This window comes from Homo sapiens, chromosome 4, assembly GCF_000001405.40.
Source record: "Homo sapiens chromosome 4, GRCh38.p14 Primary Assembly".
NCBI lineage: Eukaryota > Metazoa > Chordata > Mammalia > Primates > Hominidae > Homo > Homo sapiens.
The window spans coordinates 189,495,486-189,504,935 of NC_000004.12; positions in this window are offsets into that span (position 1 = coordinate 189,495,486).

Here is a 9,450-nt window from a genome sequence, read left to right on the forward strand (position 1 = left end):
GCCCTATTGCCTTGGGCAAGGCTTTCTACTTTTATAAGTCTCTGTCTCATTTTCAAAGTTAGTATAATATATTATCTAAACCCACTCATTGGGTAGCTTTTTGCCATAAAACTCACATTTACATGAAAGTATACTGTAAAACAGAAATATAAGATCTTTCCCCTTGGAAATAATAGAAATCTGAATATGCACATGCTCCTTACACTGCTGTGGGAATCAGGCCTTGCTGTTACTGGATGACGATAATAATAATAACTTGTGAAAGCCTCCAAGTGGAAAGAAGAGAGACTAATTCCTGTGCCAGCCTAGATGTGTCCCAGCCTAGACGCGTGGCCAGCCTAGATGCGTGGCCAGCCTAGACGTGTGCAAGCTTAGACATGTGCAAGCCTAGACGCATGGTCAGCCTAGACGTGTGCCAGCCTAGACGTGTGCCCAGCCTAGATGTGTGCAAGCCTAGATGCGTGGCCAGCCTAGATGTGTGCCAGCCTAGACGTGTGCAAGCCGAGATGTGTGCAAGCCTAGACATGTGCCAGCCTAGACGCGTGGCCAGCCTAGATGTGTGCCAGCCTAGACGTGCGGCCAGCCTAGACATGTGCAAGCCTAGATGCGTGGCCAGCCTAGATGTGTGCCAGCCTAGACGTGCAGCCAGCCTAGACATGTGCAAGCCTAGACACGTGGCCAGCCTAGATGTGTCCCAGCCTAGAAGCGTGGCCAGCCTAGACGTGTGCCAGCCTAGACGTGTGCCAGCCTAGACGTGTGCCCAGCCTAGATGTGTGCAAGCCTAGACGCGTGGCCAGCCTAGATGTGTGCCAGCCTAGATGTGTGCCAGCCTAGATGTGTGCAAGCCTAGACGCATGGCCAGCCTAGATGTGTGCCAGCCTAGACGTGCAGCCAGCCTAGACGTGTGCAAGCCTAGACGTGTGGCCAGCCTAGATGTGTGCCAGCCTAGACGTGCGGCCAGCCTAGACGTGTGCCAGCCTAGACTTGTGGCCAGCCTAGACGTGTGCAAGCCTAGACGTGTGGCCAGCCTAGATGTGTGCCAGCCTAGACGTGCGGCCAGCCTAGACGTGTGCAAGCCTACACGCGTGGCCAGCCTAGATGTATGCCAGCCTAGACTTGTGGCCAGCCTAGACGTGTGCCAGCCTAGATGTGTGGCCAGCCTAGACGCGTGGTCAGCCTAGACGCATGGCCGGCCTAGATGTGTGCCCAGCCTAGACTTGTGGCCGGCCTAGATGTGTGCACTTGGCTTGTGTTCCGGTCAGAAAGTCCCTGGCTGGAGCTTGTGCCGGTTCCTGGTCCTGGAACCAGGTGATTGCTGCTCTGCTGCTCTGCCACAAGAAGGAGGATGTCCGTCGTAAACTGCACCTGATGCCTGGGCCATGCACCTCTCTCAGTCCTCAGCAGGGTTTTTTGTCGATTCTAAAGTCCACAATGCCACAGGACATTCTTAATGTCCACATATGTAGTGCCCAGAAGTGGAAGGGGTGTGACACCTCATGGGTGAAATCTGACCAAGGGAAGACAGTTACTAGCAGATAAATTGTGGTGCTTTCCATTCTCTGGATGGGCTGTTTGGAGGAGCAGCACCTTCTGGTGGCTTCTCTAGTGACATTCAGAGGGACACTGCTGTGACCAGCTCAGTGACACTCCCTTTGACTTGCTGTCCCTCCTTCCCTGCCTCACTTTGTCCCTCACTTGTGTGTCTGAGCTGCACTCATCCTCAGGCGTAGCCCCTCCTATTTCCCTCGAGCAGGGTTTTCTAGGGACACAGGTAGAGACAGTGCCAAACTAGAATAAGCAAAAGATCAATGACGGACTAAAGGCCCAGTTTAAAATAGAAATTACGAGTGGATATTCAGTCAGCAAAACATGATTTTCCTCCAGCATTGTAGGAACAGCCGCAGAGGAAACGGAGTTAGACTCATCTACTCACTTAACAATCCGGGGTCCCCTGTGTGTCCCTCACCAGACTAGTCATCAGGGATTCCAAGATATAAAAAAATAACCCTTGGGTTCCAGTCAGTCCTTCTTTAGGGATTAACATTATACACTGGAATTTCATGTCTAAATATCTCCATGCAGTTGAAGTAGTGTTTCTGAAGAGTATAAAGGGCAAAAAATAATACATGAGAAGATGAGGAAAAAGCTGAAGGTACAGATAACATCAGAGAAGTCACTAAGGAGGGGAAACAGGCAGCGTGGTTCAGAGGAAGGATGTCAGAACACGTTTCCGAGATTAAGCTCTTCTGCTGACAGCGAAGTCCAGAGCATCAGCATAAGGGCAAGTGGCAGTGACAGGGCAGAGATGGAGATTATCTGAGCAGAGAAATTCTCAGAGCAATTCACTCGATGTGGCGGATGACTCCCCACTGCAAACTGAAACCTGCAGGGAGTAAAACAAAGGCTATGGGCCACCTGAGTGTTTGCTCTTCCCTCAATGCAGCTGAGCTGGGAACAGTCCAGAACTGAGAAGAGAGAGCGCTAAGTCCACCAACCGCTCAATTAAAACGGCCTGCGCCAGCCCAGTGATGGGTGGGACGAGATTTTTACAGACCTGGTGAGAAGCGACACCAACAGGAAAAATAGCATGTAGGGATGAGGGAAAGTTGGGAAGAAGTGATTAGGAAACAAGACGGAAGATTCAGTTCTGCGTAGCAAGTGCAGCTCTGCAATGGGGGGCGAATCAGAGCCGGGGGGCCACAGAGCAGCAGAGCAGGGCACTGCGTGCGCAGGTGAGGGAGGTGCAGGCAGGAATGGCTGCTGCTGTGAACACCAGGGTGGCCTTTCCCATGCTCTGGCTAAATGACATGCAGGACCATGCAAGACCATGCAAAACCATGCAGGGCTAGTGTTACTGCTTTATCTAATTGTGCCATTTGCTTCCGTAAACAATAACAAACCCCTCAAGCCCAGAGATACCTTATCTTACCAAGAGAACAGGAGCCGTCCTGGACAGCCGTGCTGGGCTCTGATGTTCTGGTCACAGAACCCTGCTCTGCCCCTTCTAAGCCTCCTGGCATCAGGGAGTTGGGAAGCCTGGAAGCTGCACCCACCAGCACCCCTGGCTGGCAGAGCCGCCCACGAGAAACCCTCGTGAAGGATTTGGAATGGAGAAGAGAGGCAAAGCCACATTCACACACCTCTGGGAGTGGCAGGCGAACAGGCAGGCAAATGGCACACGTGGGGTTTCTGTGGTGGCTTCCGAGTGCTCTGAAAACCACCTTCTTAAGTACTGAAGAAAAATCTTATCATCAGTGTCAGTTTTCTGGATCTGTGACCCTTTGATCTCGGAAAACTTGGCGTGCAGCTGAGAGTTCACACCCCTGCCCTGGCCTTCTCTCTCCCAGCACTTCACAAGGATCTCTGGGATGTTTGAAGGCATTTAATTCCCTGTATTAAATATCATCCTGCTTAAAAAACCAAGAGCGAATGCTGTTTGTGGACATAACTCTTGCTGATATACATTTTTTTTTCTTTCTACTACCCATTTTAACTTGGAAACTGGCTATCTTTTAGTTCACTAGTAAGTTTTCAAAACACTTTTTTCATTTACTGTATGTTTTTATCTTACTATTTTCAGTGAAAGTGCCAGAGATTAGACATAACAATAAGATGCCTCTGAAATATAAAAATTATATTATTGGAATTTGTTGATATATTGTTTTTGCTATTACCAAATCAAATGCATTAATAATATACTTGTTTCCATGGGGTAAATCCACTTTTAATAGTTTTGGACCAAATTTCTTCACTGTGTAACTTAATAAAAGCCATAAAATTCAGGAACTGGTGCTTTTGCAATAGGTGAGAGGAAAGAAGTTAATGGCTGTGGCTGCTCTGGCATAAAAGCAATACTTTCCACCTCTTTCCAGGGAATGCTGCTGGATTCAGGAAATAAGCACTGAGACACTTCATCAAGAATATCGTAAAAACTGTTCATTAACATTGTAATTATTCTTGTAATTTTAGTCATAATTTTAATTCATTTCCATTACTTAAGCTGAAAGTGCCAAATTACCCTTTAAGCATTTCTTTATTTTTCTCACCTTTCTATTAGAAAAATGTTAATGATCTTTATTACTGTTTCTGATATTTAAGAAGAAACAGCGGGGGGTTATAAGTTCATAAGCATCTTTAAAGCTACAAGCCAGAGAGTTTTACCCAATTCGAAGAAGTCCAGGTCATTCTGCACAGAGAAGGATGCAGCCGATGCACCCCAGTGGCTCTCCAGGGCCAGCCTTCAGCCTCAGCACCACGGTGGCCAGCCCGGGGCCTGACCTGGGGTCCCTGGCTTACAGGGTTCTGAGTTGCGTCTAGAATTCTGCCTCTTGCCTGCATAAGCATCAGACGACCTCATGTCATAATCATCGTTCAGCTTCTCTGAGCACATAGCAAGAAAAACCACATCGTTGGCACAGTGGGAATGGGGGACAAGCTGGGGAAAGTTTTCCACTTCTGGAAATGCATGCAGAGGAGTCCAGAGGGAGGGGATGAGAAGCACCGCCTGCCCTGGCTGCAGCAGCATTGAAGCCATCATCACCAGTTCTATGAAAACTTTCAAGGTCAACAATGAGCAAATGAACTGGTATTTTTGTGTTTTGGGCTACAACATTTCTATAACCCTAAAAATTACCTTGAGCTAAATACAGGAAGAAAGGAAAAGCGCTCATGGATACACTAGCAAAAAACTTCAAGAGTAATCTGTGTGGTCACCTTTTCTACCTCAAAGAGCACTCACCATGAAATAGAACCGATAAACCCACGTTCAGGGTGTCCACCATGAAATAGAACCGATAAACCCACGTTCAGGGTGTCCACCATGAAATAGAACTGATAAACCCACGTTCAGGGTGTCCACTATGAAATAGAACCGATAAACCCACGTTCAGAGTGTCCACTATTAAATAGAACTGATAAACCCATGTATGAAATAGAACCGATAAACCCAGGTTCAGGGTTTCCACTATGAAATAGAACTGATAAACCCCACTTTCAGGGTGTCCACTATGAAATAGAACCGATAAACCCACGTTCAGGGTGTCCACCATGAAATAGAACCGATAAACCCACGTTCAGGGTGTCCACTATGAAATAGAACTGATAAACCCACGTTCAGAGTGTACACTATGAAATAGAACCTAAAAACCCACGTTCAGAGTGTCCACTATGAAACAGAACTGATAAACCCACGTTCAGAGTGTACACTATGAAATAGAACCGATAAACCCACGTTCAGGGCGTCCACTATGAAATAGAAACGTTAAACCCACGTTCAGGGTGTCCACTATGAAATAGAACGGATAAACCGACGTTCAGAGTGTACACTATGAAATAGAACCGATAAACCCCACGTTCAGAGTGTACACTATGAAATAGAACCAATAAACCCCACGTTCAGAGTGTACACTATGAAATAGAACCGATAAATCCACGTTCAGAGTGTACACTATGAAATAGAACCGATAAACCCACGTTCAGAGTGTACACTATGAAATAGAACCGATAAACCCACGTTCAGAGTGTACACTATGACATAGAACTGATAAACCCACGTTCAGAGTGTACACTCTCCTGCTAGGTCAAGTGGCCAGAGTGAGATCCTTTTTTGTAATGGATGTCATTGACTTCGGGGGTCATTAAAATTTTTAACATGGCCAGGTACAATAGCTCATGACTGCAATGTCAGCACTTTGGGAGGCTGAGGTGGGAAGATTGCTTGAGTTCAGGAGTTCCTGACCAGCCTGGGCAGCATAGAGAGACTCCATCTTTATCCTCCACAAAAAGGAAAAACCAGAAGATTCTAGCAATGAAGAACTTAAGGGAAGCTTAAAACAAGACGCTTTCTGTTGTATTTACTCCATTATCAACCCAATTACATATTACTCACAAAGGCATTTTAAATAACAATAATATTAACAAAGTATTTGCTATCATGGCTAAATAATCTGTAAAAGAATAATGATATCCCATAAAAAAGAATAAAGGGGCCACCAAAAGAACCAACTTTCTCTTTATGGGATCCTTTTTTATATACAATCCATATGTAGACCATGTTTCAGGTTTTTAAATAATATAATTCTCTTCCACTGTTAACAAGGCCAGGCACCATGGCACTATTCTCCATTCCTTGGGAAGCTGGTGGGTGAAAATCTGGTCTGCAGAGTCTCTCTCTAGAACACAGGAAGTTCCTAGGACTTACCATGTAATTAATTTTGCCAAAAGTAGAGTAGAATAGAGAAAAGATGAGCTAGAGAGACGTACAGAGGTTCTCAGTGAGCTCAACTCCATGAGAGAGCTGCTCTCCCACATAATAAAAGGCATTAATTTAGTGGCTGCCATCATCAAGACAGAAGAGACATCAAGAGGCTTCCTGTCAAAGGCATGCAGGTTTTTCTCCCTTTAACTGTTTAAATATGAAATGTTCCTCCAGTAAGTCACAAACACATACTCAACCATAGTTTCATACATATCCATTTAACTATTTTTGCATGTGGATTTTATATTTAATTAAAATTTCTATAAATTTAGGACAATATCCATTTTATTAAAATTGAACTGTAGCCAGCCCAACACTCCATAAAGATGAGCATTCAGAAAGCATGTTTGACAGTGACTTTGAATTTTAAATTGTAGAATTTTTATGGTCGGACTTAACACAGTAGTCTTCCTTATCCTCAGCCTCCAGCTTAATAACCCAGCTCAGTCCTCCCACTTTTTTGGCACCTATCTACATAAATGCTAACTGAATAGATGAAAGGGTGAATGAACAGTGGAGCCTACGCTATCACATCTCATCCTATTCAAACGCTTTTCCTCAGAGACTCTGTCACTTACTTCTACGACTAATCTAACGTCCTGGAAGAATTTTAGCTCCAATAACCCATGATGTAAGACAGGCATTTCCTATTTATCAAAAAGTGCCTTAGACTTCTCTCACACTTATGATGCCTAAGTTCAAACCATATGAAGCCACCACAGCACATGTAACTGCACATTTTAAAGCTGATTTGCTGAGAGTAATTCACAAACCCACAGTGAATTTTTTATTCACAACTTCTAGATCTGAAATATAAAAACCTTATCTCCTAGTACATGAAACTGTGCTAATACAATTTATTAAATTAGTTCAACTAGCATTTCCTTCAAAATAATTGACAATAAATTAAACTGGGTGCCCCTCTTTTCCATTCTGTGTTCAGCTGCCAAATCTGCTCAGCTTTCTGTGTCTAAAACGCTTACCAGATATGACTCCATTGTGATTAGATGCCTCCATTCCAGTGGACTTTATTAAATTAGAATACAAGATAGCTGTCACTCTCTGAAGGATACAAGTAAGAGCAAGTCTTGAACGAGCCTCTTTAAACCATCACGATATAAATAGGCCATATTTCCAGGGTGACAGAGCAAGTAAAGGATTTCAAAGATGAGTAGGGAAAGCCCAAGTTAGCTAATAAATGACGTTCATTCATTAGGAAATGGTATCTGCAAACTATTCAAAAATCCCCTTCACTAAATAAGTCATGGACTGCGTTTCTGTTCGCAAGCCAGCCTAACACAAGGTGATGACGTCCTCACACAAAACTTGCCCCAAATCCCCGTGGTTTACCACATGTCTTTAGATGACTGAGAATGAGAAAGGCAGAGAGAGTTAATTCCTGATTTACATATTCTGCTAATAAAGTGGCAAGGTCTTATGGAACAAACACGGCAGATGTAATTATGTAATTACGTATCTGTATGCAAATGTGCCGACGGCTCATAAATGCTGGAACGCTATTTGCAATGCTAATTAAGTGGCTTTTATTGAGGCTGCATAATTCCTACGTGTGATTTGGTTCCAGATGTCATTATAGCTTGTGAAACCTTTATTGTCAGGTTAGCTGAGGTGGCACACATTAACACCACTCATAAAACCTCTATTTATAATTAAATTATTTGCAATGACTCAGTGATTTTCATCATCCCCTGGCCACCTCTGTACTCACATAGCATAGAGATGGAATCGCGACTGGAAGCCGGAACCCAGGAACATTTCTCCGCGTCTACGTTCCCACGCAGGTGGCTAATCTGCTTAATCTCACCCACGTAAACCACGTTGAAGTGTCTAATGAGCATGGGAAACAGATCACAACTGAGGCCAATGTGGAATTGTTGGCAGATGCCATAAGGTTTTATTTTAGATTTTATAGCTATCAAAGAAGAATAATTCGTTTTGCTGTAATCTCATATCAGTATTTGATAGCCTGAAGAATTACTCTTTCATTTATAATAATACAAAATGTTTTGAGATCATACAGTAAGGAGTTGGTACCATACTTTTTAATTTGTAAGTAAGAAAAAAGTGAAACTAAGAAAATATAGATATTGGACACTCATTATGTTCACAGCATTGCAGGGACTACAAGAAAACATAATACATGGGCTTCCAAATAGCTCATAAACAGTTTACTATGCAACACATAAAAAATGTTTACAATAACATATAAGAATATGAGACCTGGTTGTTCATCTGGAACTAAAACAGATAAATGAAATCAGAGAGAATCCTCATAACTATTTTAATCTAATGATTTACTTCAGCCTTTTCTCCTACCAAAACTTTCATCAGAACTCCTAATAGTGTAAGAAATATGACCTGGTATTTTCACTGCTTCTTTCTAGTTCTTGTAAGAAGAATCAGAGAAATTATTCAACCAGTCCCTGATGTTGTAAGGGCTGTTTCCTTTAGATGATGGCAGAATGCACATATCCCATAAACCACTGTAAGCAGAGAAACTACCTTATGTAACAAGCACAGAGAGGGGACTTTCCTGGTTCTTGGAGATGCTGTTATGATCCCAAAATAAAACTAAAGCACTGATTAGCTCCCTACTCTAAAGATGAGGGCCTCAAACCCCTGGAACTTCCTGGCAGGGCTTCGTAAGAGGCAGCAGAACTGGCAATCCTACCATTAACCACCACCCACCCCACCAGAACTTCCCCAGCCCACAAAGGCAACCAAAGAGGATGAGTTCCCCTTTAGAGCAATGAGGAGTCAATGTACTAATTCTCAGCAAGGCAGGAAGGCTTTGAATCTGATGGAGCACAGGAAAGGGAAGCCTGAACATCATTACTTGGCTTGATACTCGCACAGATGGAGGTGCAGCTACTGCTGCCCAGGGCAGAGCTGGATGGGAGAGCCCCAGGAGAGCTTGGCCTCTACAACCCGAGAGCGTGAGCACATGTGAACATAAAGATGACTGCTAATTTCTCAGCTAGAGAGCAAGCCAACGGGATCTGATGGGACATGTTACATCCTACAGGAAAGAAGGGGATGGGGTCATTCCCTGTCACAGCTTCCCACGGCACTGGGAGGGCCTAGACAAGGCCATTGGTGGCTCCCACAACCCATGTGAATGCACAGGGATGCTCGAGGAGAAGGCACTCTGGTGTCACCAGGTAAAGATGCTC